The sequence below is a fragment of the Homo sapiens genome, chromosome 22, assembly GCF_000001405.40.
Source record: "Homo sapiens chromosome 22, GRCh38.p14 Primary Assembly".
Lineage (NCBI taxonomy): Eukaryota > Metazoa > Chordata > Mammalia > Primates > Hominidae > Homo > Homo sapiens.
The window spans coordinates 27,470,007-27,487,251 of record NC_000022.11 but is presented as its reverse complement, the minus strand read 5'-3'; the positions used below and the strand labels follow the sequence as shown (position 1 = coordinate 27,487,251).

Sequence of the window (17,245 nt, the reverse complement as noted above, 5' to 3'; positions counted from 1 at the left end):
TAGGGGCAGGAAGACCACTGGAACAACAGCAATAACAAAGGAGGCCAGAACAGACCTCTGTGCCTATGGAAACTTCGTACGTGGTGGAGGATGCATTGCCATTTGGTGAGGAAGGGGTGGACCATCTAAAAAGAATGCTGGAAGATGATGATCAGTACGCGCACTGTGGCAGGCAGTCTTCGAGGTGGCCACCATGATTCCTGTCTCCCGGTATTCACGCCCTTGTATGATCCCCTTCCCTTGAGTGTAGGCGGGACCTGTGACCTGCTTCTATCCAATAAAACATGGCAAAGGGAATGGCTGTCACTGCATTTATTATGTTACATTATTATAGTCTGTTTTTTTTCTGTTGATCTTTATTTTCTCATTACTAGTTTTAAAGAAATAAACTTTCATGGATCATACAGCTGCAAGGGAATGAACTCTGTGAACAAGCTGAGGAGCTTGAAAGAGGATCCTTCCCTAGTCAAGCCTCTGATGAGAACCCAGCTCCAGCCAACACCTTGATTGTTGCATTGTGACACCATAAGCGAGGCTCCAGCTAAGCTGTGCCAGGCTCCTGACCCACAGAAACTGGGATAATAAACGTGTGTGTGTTGTTTTAATCCACCAATTATGGTAATTTGCCATCAGCATAGACAACTAATGATTACTGGCCATTTGGATGTTCTCTTTCAGGAACTGTCTGTCTGGTTATGCTCATTGCTTATTTGCCTACTGGGAAGTTAGTGTCTTACCGATTTGCCAGAGCTCTTTACATATTATGGATTCAATCCTGTCTCAGTTTTATGTGTTCAGATATCTTTTTCTAGTCTTGCCTTACATTACATAAACAATACCTTTTTCTAGTCTTGCCTTATATTATATAAACAATATTATGTTAGATTCCAAATTCATACAGCACACATACACACAAACAAATAGTCTCAAGATTCATTAAAGATCTAAATACAAAAAGGAAAACTTGGAAAGTTCTATATGGAAATATAGGATGTCTTTATAACCCTGGGGTAAGAGAAGTTTCCTTATTCATAGTACAAAAAAAAATTAAAGAAAAATATTGACACATTGACTACCTTAAAATTAAAACCTTATTTTCAAAGTAACTCATCCTGAATAAGTTAAAAGAGAAGGCAAGACTCAGAAAAGATACCTGAACACATATAACTGAAAAAGGATTGAATCCATAATATGTAAAGAGCTCTGACAAATCAATGACACTAACTTCCGAATAGGCAAATAGGAAATGAGCATGACCAGACAGTTCTCAAAAGAGAAAATTCACATGGCCAATAATTATGAAAGATGTTTAAATTCACTGATAAACGGGGAACGCAAATGAAAACAACCACACCATCCTACCCATCTGTTTGACAGAAATTTAAAACTTGAGAATACCAAGCATCAATGAGCCTGTGGGGAAGCAGGGCCTCTTCTCTGGCATTGGTTGGAGGGTATATTGGCACAGCCATGTTGTAGAGCCATCTTGGGGCAGCTAGTAAAGTTAAAGCTGTGCAACCTGACACAGCAATTCTATTTCTTGGTGAATAGGTTTCAGAAATGTTAACCCATTGCTCTAAGTGACATGTTCAAAGATGTTCACTGCAGCATTAAGTAACACAAGTTCCCCAATAGAAGGAGGAGAGATACACTGAAACATGCTCTTATAGTAGAATATTACACGATGGTGAAAATGAGCTAGTTCTGTGTTAATTGGGAAAACAAAGCTTAGCCAAAAAGAAAAAAATTGCAAAATGATGCATAAAATAGGTTACTATGCATGTAAGTTACTAAAATGTGAAAAATAATACTATATATTGCTTGTGGACACATTCTTACCTAGTAACAGTATACAAACATGAGTGGAAAAGATAAAGACCAACTTTAAGATAGTAATTACATCAGTAGAGAAAAAAAAAGGAAACAGGTCTGTAAGGTTTTGTTACTTTAAAAATCCTGAAACCTATATGACAAAGTGTAGATATTTGATAATGCTAGTGGGTGTTGGGGATCCACAGACCCACTGTATAATCCTTTAGAGCCATACATGGCTACTTAAATCTAGATATAAATTCATTAAAATTAAATAACATTACAAATCTGGTTCCTCCAGCCTGGACAACATGGTGAAACCCCATCTCTACAAAAAAAATACAAAAATTACCCAGGTGTGGTGCGTATGCGTGTGGTTCCACCTACCTGGGAGGGTGAGGTAGGAGGATCACCTGAGCCCAGGAGGTCCGGGCTGCAGTGAGTCCTGATTGTATCACTGCACTCCAACCTGGATGGCAGAGCAAGGCTGGGTCTCAAAAAAAAAAAAAAAAAAAAAAAAAAAGGGAGGCTGAGCCTGATGTATCACGAGGTCAGGAGATCGAGAGCATCCTGGCTAACATGGTGAAACCCCGTCTCTACTAAAAATACAAAAAAAATTAGCCGGGCATGGTGGCAGGCTCCTGTAGTCCCAGCTACTCGGGAAGCTGAGGCAGGAGAATTGCTTGAACCCGGGAGGTGGAGCTTGCAGTGAGCCGAGATCGCGCCACTGTACTCCAGCCTGGGCAACAGAGTGAGACTCCGTCTCAAAAAAAAAAAAAAAAAAAAATTCTGATTCCTCAGTTGTACTAGCCACATTTCAAGAGCTCAAAAGCCACATGCAGTTGGCAGTTTCTGTATTGGACAATGCAGACATAGAATGTTTCCATGACTGCAGAAAGTTTTTTTGGGTGTTGCTGTTCTAGAGCATCCTGGATGCTGCTTTTAAATTTTTTTTTTTTTTTGAGATGGAGTTTCACCCTTGTCACCCAGGCTGGAGTGCAATGGTGTGATCTTGGCTCACTGCAACCTCTGCCTCCCAGGTTCAAGCAATTCTCCTGCCTCAGCCTCCTGAGTAGCTGGGATTACAGGCACCAGCTACCACACCCTGCTAATTTTTGTATTTTTAATAGAGACAGGGTTTCACCATGTTGGCCAGGCTGGTCTCGAACTCCTGACCTCAGGTTATTCCCTCCCGCCTTGGCCTCCAAAAGTACTGGGATTACAGGTGTGAGCCACCGCGCCCAGCCACTTTTAATTTTTTGTAATGATTTTTAAAAAGCAGAGACTGGAAGATGAGCAAAGGAGGTAGGGAGGGAAAAGAGTTCTTTTGAAGAGTTTGGCTATGGAGGGAAGGAGGAAGATGGCAGAATGGCTGGGGATGAGGGGGTCCAGGAAGGAGCAGGGGGACAGGGCATCCTGGGAGGTCTCTATTTGTCATGGTGGGAGATGTCTCAGAATGCCGATGGGAACGGTCAGTAGAGGGGGAAGTTGAAGGTGGAGGAGAGGAGACAGGGGAAGTTGAAGGTGGAGGAGACAGGGGAAGATGGAAGGCAGGAGGCCCGAGCAGGAAAGGGGCCCCAGAGGAGGACACGGTCCCCTGAGGCCCCAAGGCCCCTACCTGCCGCCCCTCTCTAAGTGACTCCCACCCCTCACCCTTTCAGGCTCTCGAGGGAGGAGATCAGTAATTCCTGCCACGCCTGTCACAGATATTTGAAAAACATATTAATCACTTTAATAAATATTAGCTCAGAACAGCAATAAACAGTCTCCAGCATCTCCTCTCTGCGGCTGTATTACAATGACAAATATGCTAATATGGGTGTCTAATTGATTGTGTTTGAGTAACTTCCTGTATGACAGTAAGTGTTTGAGGCGGCATCACTCAGAGTCAAAGCCGACATCTCCCAAACTCTGGAACGACTCCCTCCTCCTTTCCTGCAGGATTACCCTTTCCAGGGAGTGGAATCTCTCCAAACAAAGAAATGGTAGCTCTCTTGGCTGCCAACCTGCGGAGACTTTTTGGGGACCCAATGCGGAGCTGCCTTTCGTGCCCTGGCTCCTATGGGCCGGCATCTCACATGCGATGTCTCCTTTCATCTTTGAAGCAGTTCTACAAGGTTTGGATTGTGGTCCCATTTCCAGGAAGGGAAAACTGAGGCTGTGAGGGGTAAAGAGACTCACCCAGGGTTCCTGAGTGGTGCAGCCAGGACTGTCCTGCAGGCTTGAATCCGAAACCTGTGTGTGCCCTCTCCATCTCCAAGCCAGGAGACCTCATGACAGAAACTCTGGAAACATTGGCATTGCCATTCATCCCTCATGGACAACTCACAGTTCAGTTCCACAGACAACTGGACGAGGCGATCCTCAAATTTCCTGGGTACTTCCCTTCCGATGCCAAACAGATTCTGACCATGCAGATTCTTCTCTCATCTCATCCATCACCTCCTGCAATCCACAATATTGCTTCCTCTCACTTCGCTCCTTGCCTTGGTTAAATGTATGTTCCAGACCCTCGCACCATGCACAGGCAAGATAATTTCTGCGGTGATGGAGGCTAATCAGTGTATAATCCCTGGCTCTTGCACCCTCCTCTCCTTGCACTGGAACACTCGTCAGCTGCTCACAGCTGCTGGTGTGACCCTAAGTCTAGTTCAAGTCTGTTCTCTCTTCTCCATCCTCCTGCCTTACCTGTAGCATCTCCCTCCTGGACTCCTCTGCAGCCTGTGACAGCCCCTACCACAGGCCTTGGAGGCAGAAGACGCAGGGTCCCGTTGAAGCTCCCGCCTCTGAATGGGACAGCTTCCAGGTTCCTTCCCAACCCTCTGAGAGATGATGCTTTAGGTCATGGGTTGGCAAACATTTTCTGTGAATGGCCAGGAAGTAAATATTTTCAGCTTTGCAGGCTGCGGGGTCTCTCCCGCAGCTTCTCGATTCCGCTGCTGCAGCAAGAACTGGGCCGTAGATAATACACAAATGAAGAACGTGCCTGCGTGCCAAGAAAACGTTATTTATGGACACTGAGATTTGAATTTGATAAAATGTTTATGTGTCCTGATCTATTCTTCTTTTGATTTTTTTTCCCAATCATTTAAAAAATGACTATAATTTTTAGCATGTGGGCCACACGTAAAAGGACTGCAAAATGGATTTGGCCCGTGGGGAATAGTTTGGGGACCCTTGTCCTTACTGATTTATTTTTCCTTTAAAAAAATCAAAACATTTTAGTTTTTCAGTTTCCTGGCATATGGTTTGGGCGGCACTGACATGGTCTATGCAGACAGGGGAATTTGGAAAGGGAAGGGGGATTTTAGTGAACAAAAAAGACTGACAATAGATCAAGTTTATGTTGGGAGGGGAGTGACAAGCAGGCTTCAGGGACTGGGGACCTTCCCGTCTTGATCCAAGTGCTGGTTTCATGGAGGCGTGGATGCTGTGAAAATCCAGCGAGCTGGGCTCTGATGACAGGCGCACTTTTTTGTATGTATATTTCCCTTCAGTGAAAAGTAAAAGGCCAGGTGTGATGGCTCATGCCTGTAATCCCAGTACTTTGGGAGGCTGAGGCAGACAGAACACCTGAGGTCAGGAGCTCCAGACAAGGCTGGCCAACATTGCAAAAGCCCATCTCTACTGAAAATACAAAAATTAGCCCGGCGTGGTGGTGCTTGCCTCTAGTCCCAGCTACTTGGAAGGGTAAGGCTGAAGAATCGCTGGAACCCAGGAGGCGGAGGCTGCAGGTGAGCTGAGATCATGCCACTGCATCCAGTCTGGGTGACAGAGCAAGACTCTGTCTCAAAAAGAAAGTAAAGAAAAATGAAAGAGCTGATGCTATCCTATTAGTGAGATCATGGGCATACAGGCACTCCCGGGCCATGCTGGGGACGGATAATCGAGGCCACCCCCATGGAAGACAATTTGCTTGTGTTTGTCACATGCAAAAACAAAAACACACCTCCCAAGACCCAGTGATACCACTGGTAAGAATGTGCTCGCAGCACACACTCACACGCATGTGCAAATACTTGTGTGCAGAAGATGGGGAACACCTGAGATGTAGACTAGCTGAGTAAAAGATGGCACATCCAGAGACGGAAGACGATGTAGTTCCTAGAAGGAGGATGCTGTCATCGTACTGCTATAGAATAATCTTCCGAGGGCTTCGTGCAGTGAAAGACGGGAGTGGATACGGAAAGTCACCATTTCTTGACCTCCTGGGACCACATATATTGGCCCTGCTTGGTGGGGTCTCCCCTGTCGCAGTAAAATCTATTTAAATCTTAAGGAAAAAAGAAAGTCGCCATTTATATGTAAAAAAGAAGCACACTCACACACGTGTTCATTTTCATATATAAGCATAAAAACTTTCTGGAAAGACACACAAGAGGCATGGACATGGCTGCTGGGCTCAGGGTGGGCAGAGGAGTACAACCATACCCTTGGGGCTGTTTCATCCTTTTTATGCATATGCCTGGTGACTTTACAACCAAGGACAAAAGACTCCTTTAAAAAGTCTAGGGGATGATTTCCCATACGCTGAGTGCCTACTAAGCTCCCAATATTTTCCATATCCCCTCTGCCTCCGCCCCAATGAATCCTCTGGTTTATCCCAGGGGGCCCCCCGGAGAACCTGAGACAGCCCAGCTGCTCTGCAGACCCAGCGTGCCCCGTGCTGGTCTGAGGGGCACAGCAAGGCTGGCTGCAAGTGCAAACAATGGGCAGGACAAAGAACCCTTTGTGCTTTTCCTCCAGCCTCAGCAGAGCCTCAGGACTGGGCCTCTCCAGTTACAGCACCCGAGGGCTTTCCCACTCGGCAGACGGAGCCCTAGGGTAAATATTCCTCCCAGGATCACCTGTCAGGCATGGGGGAGGGTCTCCTTGGAGCAGGAGTCGCCACAGGCCCAGTGGTTCATCCCAGCCTCCCAAACAGCGGCCCCACTGGGGATGGAGGGATGGCCCCAGTGGCGTGGTTGGAAGCAGGGCAGCTGATCGGGATCCTGGAACACCAACCGGCCAAGTGACCCAGGCAAGCAGCCTTGTGTCTCTCAGCCTCAGTTTATCTGGAAGATGAGGTGATGGTCATGCCTAGATATCCCGTGGGTAGACTGTGGTGAGGATTCAAAGAGATGATGCCCATGAGTGCCTGGCTCAATATACGGTACTTTTGAAAAGTAGGGGAGAGTGGGAATAAAAAAGGTCCAGCCACTTTGGAAAACAGTGGGGCAGATCCTCAAAGGAATAAACATGCGGTTACCCTGTGACCAGGCAATTCCACTCCTAGGTATCTACTCAAGAGAAGTGAGAACACATGGCCACACAGAGACTTGTACAGGAATGTTCACAGCAGCGTTATTCATAAGAGCCAAAGTGTGGACGTAACCCAAATGTTCATCAATAGTCAAAGTATGGTCCACCCATACAATGGGGTATTATTCAGCCTCAAGAAGGAATGTCACATTGACACATGCCACAACATGGATGAACCTTGAAGACATTATTCTAAGTGAAGGAAGCCAGACACAAAACATCATGTACTATATGATTCCATTTCTATGAAACATTCAGATCAGTGCAATCCATAGAGACAGAAGGTAGATTTGTGGTTTTCAGGGGCTGGGGGTGTGGTGGGAGGATGGGGTGATAGCTGAGAGGAACTGAGTTTCTTTGTGGGGTGGTGGAAGTGTTCTAAGCCTGACTGTGGTGACGGTTTCGCTCATATTGTGAATAGACTAAAAATGATTGAATTGTGTGCTGTAAACGGGCAAATTAAATAGTAAGTGAATTATATCTCAGTAAAGCTGTTTTTCTTTTTCTTTTCTTTTTTTTTAAAAAAGCTTTTAAAAAGCTGTTATTTAAAAATAAAAACTTAAGAAGAGGCTCCTGGCAGAGCCAAGACCAGAAGAGTATAAGCGGAACGAGAAAGGAAAAAGGAGGTTAGGAAGAGAGGGAGGAGATAGAGAAACGTCAGGATGGTGACAGGGGGCTGGGGAGTCAGGCCCCATTTCTCTGTGGGCCCAGCCCCTGTGCCTGTCTCCTGGGGGGCAGACAGACTCCCAGTACCGCTGCTGCCAGGGGAGTTCAGTAGTTCCTGCAAGGAGGGAGTCGGGGGGACTCCGCAAGGATGGCTCGGCCACCTGCTTGGTGTGGGCCTCTGGTTAAGCGCCTGAAACACACTCAGCCTCAGCTCCTCACCTGGAAACGGGGGCTTGTGACCACTGCTTCACACAATAATGGTGAGGCTTGAAAGAGGTGGAGGGGGTCAGTGTGCCTGACATGTAGTAAGTGCTCATTAAATGATGGGGGGAGGGAGAGGGAGAGAGAGAGAATTTTATTGACTTTATTTCAGCAGCATCAATTATCTTTTCCCGTACGTTCCACCCAAAGTCTAAAGAAGCAATGAGGATAAAAGGCTGAGAATTAGGGAACCTAAATTCCTGGCTGTCACCTTACGGCCTTGGGCCTCAGTTTGCCTCCCTGCTGTTTTCTTCTTCCTTCTTCCTCCCTCTCCTCCTCCCCACCGTCCTCCTCCTGGTCCATTGTGCCATGCACTTGGCAGTCAATACCAGGTTCTCGCCCTCCCCTCTGCCTTCCTGGGTGTTGCTCCAGGTGTGTCACAGGTGCTTAGACATAGTCATATGAGGCCCTGGACTCAAGTCAGGAGGACCTCCCCAGTCAGGGAGACACCTGGCCTCCGAGCAGTGCCCTTGTCTTCAACTTGGCATCTGTCAGGGGCTGGGACCATCCTATCCCTGGAAAATCTACCCACCCTCTAGGCAGAGTTCCCCAAGTAGAGGAATCCCCATTGCCTTCCTTTCTGGACCCCCTGATACAGCTGCAAAAAAAAAAAAAAAAAAAAATTTCCCATCCAAACCAATCCAAACCAAACCAATCCAAACCAAACCAAACCAAACCAAACCAATCCAAACCAAACCAAACCAAACCAAACCAAACCAAACCAAACCAAACCAAACCAATCCAAACCAAACCAAACCAATGCAAACCAAACCAAACCAAACCAAACCAACCCAAACCAAACCAAACCAATCCAAACCAAACCAAACCAAACCAATCCAAACCAAACCAATCCAAACCAAACCAAACCAAACCAAACCCATCCAAACCAAACCAATCCAAACCAAACCAAACCACACCAAACCAAACCAATCCAAACCAAACCAAACCAAACCAAACCAAACCAAACCAAACCAAACCAATCCAAACCAAACCAAACCAAACCAATCTGAACCAAACCGAACCGAACTGAACCAAACCAAACCAAAATGGCCCAACACCAAAAAAACAGTGACTGTTGCTTTGAATGCTGCCATTGTGTTGTGTATTTTGAAGCCACCTCTCAAGTGTTGTCTTCTTCTTTGCTGGAGCCACATTCCGACTTGGGACACTCCAACCATCCCCTGTTGATCTGAATGAGATGGAGTCTCACTCTGTTGCCCAGGCTGGACTGCAGTGGTGCGATCTCGGCTCACTGCAACCTCCACCTCCTGGGTTCAAGTGATTCTCCTGCCTCAGCCTTTCGAGTAGCTGGGATTACAGGCATGTGCCACCACGCCCGGCTGATTTTTTTTTTTTTTTGTATTTTTAGTAGAGATGGGGTTTCACTGTGTTAGCGAGGATGGTCTTGATCTCCTGACCTCGTGATCCACCCGCCTCGGCCTCCCAAAGTGCTGGGATTACAGGCATGAGAGACCGTGCCCGGCTGCTTGTGAGTTTAAAACTCATCCCTGCCCACAGGCAAGAGAGGGCACAGAGAGGCAGATGAAGCCCTTTGAGGATCAGGTCAAGGAGAAAGTGGCTCCTGGCATTGAATTCAACCCCAGGGGCTGGGTGGGTGTGTTTTCAAAAAAGCTCCTTCCCAGCACTCTTTATCTATATTTTTACCTGGCTTAGATTCAGCGCCTGGACCTTTGAGTTTTTCCCGATAGGTGCTGGGTCTCAGAGCTTCCCCCGGAGGGGCACTGTCTGCTGATGGAAGAAATGTGTGGAGCCCAGGTTAGCCATGATGTTGCCGAGGGCGGTGGACAGGCCTGAGGGCCATGGTCGCAGCTCTGAAGGGCAGCAGGGGTGGGACCACAGGGGGAGCTTTGGATGTGGGGACAGCCTGGGCTAGGATGGCAAAGACTGGTATGTCCAGGAGTCACACACCGGAGGTCCTGGGATGGCTGGACTCAGCCCCAGCCTCCCATTCAGAGGCCATCCTTGGCTCCTCTGGCTGCCTCATGAAAGACAGCCCCCAGCCCAGGCAGCATCTCCTCTCCCCTTCCCCCACCCCTAATTCCCCTGCCCCAGGTCAGCCGTTGTCTTTGCTCATCTCTGTTTTAAGAGGTGGCCTTCTAAGTGACCCTCCTGGGCCAGCTTCTGCCTTGCATCCACACGGCAGTGGAGGAAGTTTCAGAAACCTGATCCCACCACCCCTAGCTTACAGCCCTCCGGACTGTGTCTGTCGTCCCTGCTTCTGTCTGCTGTCTCTGACCTTCCCACGGGACAACGCCATGGGGCCTCGCCCCACCTCCCGTCTCAGGTGATTCACTGCTGACTTGGATGTGGCCAGCCTGACTCACATGCAGCCACAACCATGGAACATTCAGAGGCTCTGAAAATGTTCACTGAATTGAACAGAGGACTGGCCCAAAGTCCCAGAGGGACTTGGTGGCAGAATGAGGCCGAGAAGAGGGTGGGAGGGGAATGATTATGGAGCACATAAAGTGTGCTAGGCCCGGTCCACAACACGTGTGCACGCATTATCTTGTATCTTCGCATCAGCCTTGCGAGGGGGGACGATCCTGTCCCCACTTTGCGGAGGAAAACAATGAGGCTAAAAGGAAGTGAAATCTACAGCCCAGAAAAATAAAGCCGAGAGGAGGCAGGCGAGGGTTTGGACTCTGGGCCTGAGATCACACAGAGCAGGTTCTCTTAGATATAGATGCCAAAGACCTGGATCTCTGACCCTCTCTGCCTTTATCAGTGAGGCACTTACGTAAGCGAGGCCTCAACTGCCTCATTTGTAAGATGGGGGTAGCACTGGTGTGTGCAGGTCATGCTGCTAGCATACATGAGCATATGAACTACCCCCATATGCAAATGAGAATATTTGTACCCCCATATTACACATGTGAATGTAGCAGAGGCTGTTGGTGCCCACCCATTCCTCCTGGGCTCTCACCATCCCCATGTGGGCCCACTCCATGGCTTCCAACACAATGAAGTGCCAGGGAGTTAATGCCCCGGGCAGTACCCCTCAGCCCATGGCAGAGCCTACGGGGGCTGCAGGATAAACACCCCAGCTCCTTTGATCCTTGGGTGAGACAACTCCCAGCCATGTCCCATGTTGGCTCCCAGAGGAGAGACAGGGTTTCACTGTGTTAGCCAGGATGGTTTTGATCTCCTGACCTCGTGATTGGCCCACCTCCACCTCCTAAAGTGCCAGGATTACAGGTGTGAGCTGCTGTGCCGGGCCGCTTGTGAGTTTAAAACTCATTCCTGCTCGCAGGCGAGAGAGGGCACAGAGAGGCAGATGAAGCCCTTTGAGGAACAGGTCAAGGAGAAAGGGGTTCCTGGCATTCAATTCAACCCCAGGAACTGGGACATAGTCATATGAGGCCCTGGACTCAGGTGCCCCAGCTGCCCACATTGGAACCTTGCTTGCTAATGAAGCTTCCCTTCCGGGCTTCACTCCCTCACCCTCTCACCTCCCCACACACTGCAGTTCTTTTTGCAGGATGTGCTTTGGGGCAACCCACACCCCAATCAGGAAGGGAATTCTCCTTGAAGAATCCTTGAAACATGAAGCAAAGTTGTTCCTTCCTATATAACCCCTGTCCTTCCCCCCATCAGGGCGGGAAGTAGTTTGCATTTATCACCTCGAGGAGGGAATAATCAACTTCAAAAAGCAGAAGCTTGGATATAAACAACAGGCGGGGAAGAACCGGGGATGAGAGACCCCTCTCCCACCTCTGAACCAGAGACAGACTTCCCAGGAGGGGCAGGCAGAGGAAGGCACAGAAGGAGGCTGCGTGTCACAGTCGCTCTAAGAGGCCAGGTGAACGGCAGGTGGGATCAGAACTTAGCTAGTGAGGCTACGGTGCTGCAAGTTCAGTTACAGGAAACTAACATTCATGTCCTGCATACTTGAGTTCGGGCCAATAGATTCTTGGTATTATCCGGAGAGAGGCTTCTTTTTCTGACTCATTTACAAAGAACTCCCTCCATCTGCGCCCCCAGCCTCCTTCTCCCTGAGCTTCTCCCACCTGGCCCTGAGTCATCTCACTCCTTCCAGCCTGAAGCCCTGAGGATATTTTCCATCGGAGGAGCCCAGCCCACTTAGGGAAGAGATACCTGAGGGAGCACCTGGCTTGGGGGTTGGTGTTGTCTGCAGACAGGAAGAGGCACCCCGTGTTGGGACTGGCCCCAGGTGAAGAGGAGGGGGGAGAGGGCTGGGCAGGTAAAGCAGGCCCCAATGCCTGGGAGTTAGAGACAGGCTGCAAGGGAGCTGAAGGAAGCACTCTTTTCTGGAGCCTGTCCCATCACACCCTGCTGTGTGTCCCTGGGGAAGTCACGTGGCCTCTCTGGGCTCCATCTCTGCAGAGTGAAGGGCTTCAAGCTGGTCTTGAGTCTCCCATTTTGAACACTCTTTGATGCTGGAGTAGCTGGGCTTTCCAGCATCATCAGGAGACTTGTGGTTTTTCAGCTGGGCACAGTGGCTCATGCTTGTAATCCCAGCACTTTGGGAGGCCAAGGTGGGTGGATCACCTGAGGTCACGAGTTTCAGACCAGCCTGGCCAACATGGTGAAACCCTGTCTCTACTAAAAATAAAAAATTAGCCGGGTGTGGTGGCACACGTCTGTAGTCCCAGCTACTCAGGAGGGTGAGACAGGAGAATCACTTGAACCTGGGAGACAGAGGATGCAGAGCGCCAAGATCCGCACCATTGCACTCCAGCCTGGGCGAGACAGAGTGAGACTCCGTCTCAAGAAAAAAAAAAAAAAGAGAGAGACTTGTGGTTTTTCTCTTTGTCTCTCCCTTCCTCTGCCCTCCCTCCTGCTGTTCGTTCATTCATTCCTTCCCACTCCATGTCTAGCCTTGCACAGTATGCTACGGACACAATGATGAGCAAACCCATCCCTACCTTAGAAGCCTAGTCTGGCAGAAGACAGACGTTTCACAGCCAGTTACAACAGAAGGCAGTGACGGGCATGTTATTCACAGCTAGCATCTCTTCTGGAGCCCCACCTTTGTGCCAGCCCCGGGCATACCTGACTCCACTGAATTCCCAGAACCTTCCAAGGCCCAGGTTCCTTAGTCATCTTCATTTTCCAGGTGAAGAAACTGAGAAGCGGGAGGTGAGGGCCAGGGGCCCATAGCTAGGAAGAAACAGATGGGTTTGCCAGACTCAAGGCCCATTCTTAGAATCACCCAGTTTACTTCATCTCAGAACAGTAGCAAGCCAAGGGGGAATTCCAGGAGCTGAGAGAGAGAGGGCATGTAACCCAACCTTGCTGGAAAAGGCAAGATCTGTCCAAGGAACCCAAATCTCTCCTAGTCCATCATTTCACCCTCTCCCTACCAAGACCCGGCTGTGGGTGGGGGATGGAGTTAACATTTGCCACAATAATGGAGCAGTAACACTAGCTAATATTCATTGATGATTAATCTCATTAGCTGTGACTGGTTGGTTTCAGTCAAGGGCTTGATTCTGACCAATCATTGTAGCCGGAGGAATGGACTCAGCTGATTGGCCAGTTGTAGGGGCTGTGCCTAACTAAGTCCCTGAGCTGGTGGGTGGGTCCCGTGCCACCCAATCCACATTAAGAGCCAGGGAGGGCAGTGCAAGTCAAGGTGCTCTTAGCAGAGGAGGTAAGAATAGCAGATATCCCTTAATCCAGCATTTAGGCAAATCAACCCATTAATCCCCCCAGCAACCCTGAGGCACAGAGAAGCTAAGAGACTCACCCAAGGGTCACACAGCTTGTGAACCACAGTGCTGAACCCTGAAAGTCTGGCTTCTAAGTCCATACTTTTTATCTGCAGTACTACACTGCCTCTTAGAATAATGCCTGAAGATGAAATCAATAGATCCTGTTTGGAGTTGAAATGAGGGAGGAAGGGGAGAGGAAGAGGAAGTGATGATGTTTTACATTCACCAACCTCCTCCTATGATTTAGACAGCTCCCCCTAACCTGACTGTTGACATTAGACAGCAAAGATGGCTAAGCCAGGCTGACACCTGAAGTTCGACGTTGTTTCTGTAGTTACCAGTGGTGACGTCACCATGGAGGCTGCAGAAACCTCATCATCACACCAACTGCAGCCCCAGCTGCCTCTTGTCACTTCCACACGGGGGACCCATTTTGGGCAATGTCTGTGGCAAGTTTAAGTGCCTTCTTTTTTAAATTAATTATTTTTATTTATAATTGACACTTTCAAGTGTCTTCCTGAGGACACTTCTTAGGGAAGGACCTTGGGGTCAACAGCCCAGGCTTCTTGACGAGGCCTGTGTGTGGGTGCGGTGGGGGTGGTGGTTTAGAATCTACCAATCTGCCATCATTATCACTCTTTATCCTCCTGAGAAGGTTTCTCTCTCTTTAATGTTTCTAATTTCATTGTTGCTCAAATATCCAGTAAGATGTCCCCAAGCTAGCACTTCTACATCAAAATATTATTTCGGTGGCCTTGGTTAAGCACATTCTGGAAATAAATCCCGAGCCAAACTTTCTTGTTCCTTTCCCTTCCTGCATTTCTTCTCTCCCTCTCCTTCCAACCATCTGGCCTTAAACAAGTCTGTATTATACATTTAACTGTTTGTCAGGCCCCATGTTAACATCCCAGGGAAACTGAATGAATAGGACTTATCTCTGCCTTCAAGAAGCTGCCCGTCTTTTTTTTGTTTGTTTGTTTTTTAAAAAAGACATGGTCTCACTCTGTCGCCTCTATCACCCAGACTAGAGTGAGGTGGCACGATCATAGCTCACTTCAGCTTCAAACTCCCAGGTTCAAATGATCCTCCTGCCTCACCCTCCCAAGTAGCTGGTATTACAGGCATGCACCACCATGGCCAGCTAATTTCTTCATTTTTTGTAGAGATGGGGTCTCACTGTGTTGCCCAGCTGGTCTTGAACTCCTGGGCTCAAGCGATCCTCCCACCTGAGCCTCCCAAAGTGGCTCATTACATGTGTGAGCCACTGCATCTGGCTGAAGCTTTCCATCTTTTAGGGGATATAGATGAACACTTATTATGTAGTGGGGGCCCTGGAGGGCCGGAGGAGGAGGATGTCATCCCTGCTTGGGGGAGTTTTCCAGGCAGATGTCCAGAGGTGGAGGGAGGGAGGAGAAGGCATCCTAGGCAGAGGGCACAATATAGGCAAAGGCAGAGAGGCATGGAGTAGTCTAAGTTCATGAACGATTGTGGTTTGGTTGTGCATATGGGGAGCTGTAGAGGATGAGACAGGAGGCATAGCCAGGGCTCAGGCAGACCACTGAGAGCTTTGTCATGGTAGAGGAAGGGCACATGAATGGTCCAGGGCCAAGAGAGCACTGGACTAGGAGTCCGGAGACAAGGTCTAGGCTCTGCCATTGTTTTGAAGTTGACTTGGTGAGTCATGGCTCCTCTCTCAGTCTTGGTCTTTTCATCTGTAAAAGCAGAGGCTTCTTCTCTTGGTCTTTGAGGTGCTTTTTGATTCACACATCTGATGCATTTCTGGGATGTTATTTTTCTTGTCCTTCCCAGAATCTCTCCCCAAATCCACAATCCTGCAAAGATCTTGACCACCCAACCCCCCAGACGTCACCCGATTCAGAGCTAAAAGGATCTTTCTGTTCCTGGTCGGTCTGTTTGTCATAGCTTTGAGGGGGCGCTCCTGGGGTGTCACTGCACACTACCTCATTGATTTCGATTTTATTTTAACAGCCTTGGTGTAATTATGAAAGCCTGCTGTAATTATCAAAACACAACTCCAAGTATTTCATTGTTAAAATACCCCTATGGTCTATTATTAATTCATTAGATAAATTTGGATTATATCACTCAATAATTAATGTGCAGACCTGAATCCGGGGAATTTGGCCACTGTGAGTCACATGGTAACTGTGGGAAGCAATGGGAGCCTGAGAGATTAGGAGGCAGAGGTGGAGAGAATGGAAACAGGGAAGAAAACAGGTGGTCATGAAAGGTTGATGACCAGCTGCTCTGTGACATTCATTTAACCATTAATTCAATAAACACTTATTGCTGGCCTACTACATGCTAGGAATTTTGAGCACCTTAACATCCAAATATTAACTACTCAAGGTGGTTCCTGGGGTTCTCTCTTATCTATCTATATGTTCATCATTCATCACCCATCTGTCTACCCATCCATATAGCCATACAGCCACCTACACACCCATCGATCCGCCATCTCATCCGTCCATTCATCCATCCATCTACCCGCCCATTCATTCATCCATTATCCACTCAGTTTATCCATTCATCCACCCACCCATTTACCTGCTTACCTACCCACCCATCTACCCTTCCACCCATCAATCTCTCCCTCCATCCACCCAACCACCCATCCATCAACTCATCCATCCATTCATTCATTCACCCATTCATCCATCATATCTTCGTCCACCCATCTACACAGCCATCCTTCTATCTATTCATTCATCCACCCATCCATCCATTTATCTATCCATCCATCTATTTATTCATCTAACGATCTACCCATCCATCCACACATCTATACATTTATCCACCTATCTATCTACCCACCCATCCATCAACCCATCCACCATCCCATGCATCCATTCATCTACTCATCCACCTATCCGTCATTCATCCATCTTCTCCTCAATTTATCCATCCATCCATCCATCCATCCATCCACCATCTCATCCACCCATCCATCCACCCATCCACAATCCCATGCATCCATTCATCTACTCATTCACCTATCCTTCATTCATCCATCTTCTCCTCAGTTTATCTATCCATCCACCCATTCATTCATCCACCTACCCATCTACCTGTCTACCTACCCATCAATCTATCCATCTATCCATCCATCCATCATCCATCCATCCATCCACCCATCCATCCATCTATCCATCCACCCATCCACCCACCATCTCATCCATCCATTAATCCACCCATCCACCTATCCATCATTCATCCATCATCCCCTTTATTCATCTATCCACCCACCCACCCATGCATTCATCCACTCATCCATCTACTCATTCATCCATTATTTATCCTTCCACCCATCCATCTACCCATTCATTCATTTATTCATCCACTCATTCATCTATCCACCCACTCATCCATCCACTCACCCATTCACCTGTTATCTATCCATCCACTATCCAGCATGCATCCATCTGTCTATTTATTGAGCACTCCCTATGTTCCAAGCATGGAAAGTAACTTGAGGAACAGACTAT

The 17,245-nt window shown here is 48.1% G+C and overlaps 4 annotated features.

The window, feature by feature from the left end:
* Nucleotides 11,395-12,117: an enhancer, noted in NCBI's record as "H3K27ac-H3K4me1 hESC enhancer chr22:27871096-27871818 (GRCh37/hg19 assembly coordinates)". NCBI's record gives its function as "activates a minimal SCP1, AML or CMV promoter by ChIP-STARR-seq in naive H9 embryonic stem cells {active_cell/tissue: H9 hESC(naive)}" and the evidence as "EXISTENCE:reporter gene assay evidence [ECO:0000049][PMID:30033119]".
* Nucleotides 11,395-12,839: a biological region, named in NCBI's record as "P300/CBP strongly-dependent group 1 enhancer GRCh37_chr22:27870511-27871710".
* Nucleotides 11,503-12,702: an enhancer, noted in NCBI's record as "P300/CBP strongly-dependent group 1 enhancer chr22:27870511-27871710 (GRCh37/hg19 assembly coordinates)". NCBI's record gives its function as "activates an origin of replication core promoter dependent on BRD2, BRD4, P300/CBP, MED14 and CDK7 cofactors, with strong dependence on P300/CBP, by STARR-seq in HCT116 cells {active_cell/tissue: HCT116}" and the evidence as "EXISTENCE:reporter gene assay evidence [ECO:0000049][PMID:35650434]".
* Nucleotides 12,118-12,839: an enhancer, noted in NCBI's record as "H3K27ac-H3K4me1 hESC enhancer chr22:27870374-27871095 (GRCh37/hg19 assembly coordinates)". NCBI's record gives its function as "activates a minimal SCP1, AML or CMV promoter by ChIP-STARR-seq in naive H9 embryonic stem cells {active_cell/tissue: H9 hESC(naive)}" and the evidence as "EXISTENCE:reporter gene assay evidence [ECO:0000049][PMID:30033119]".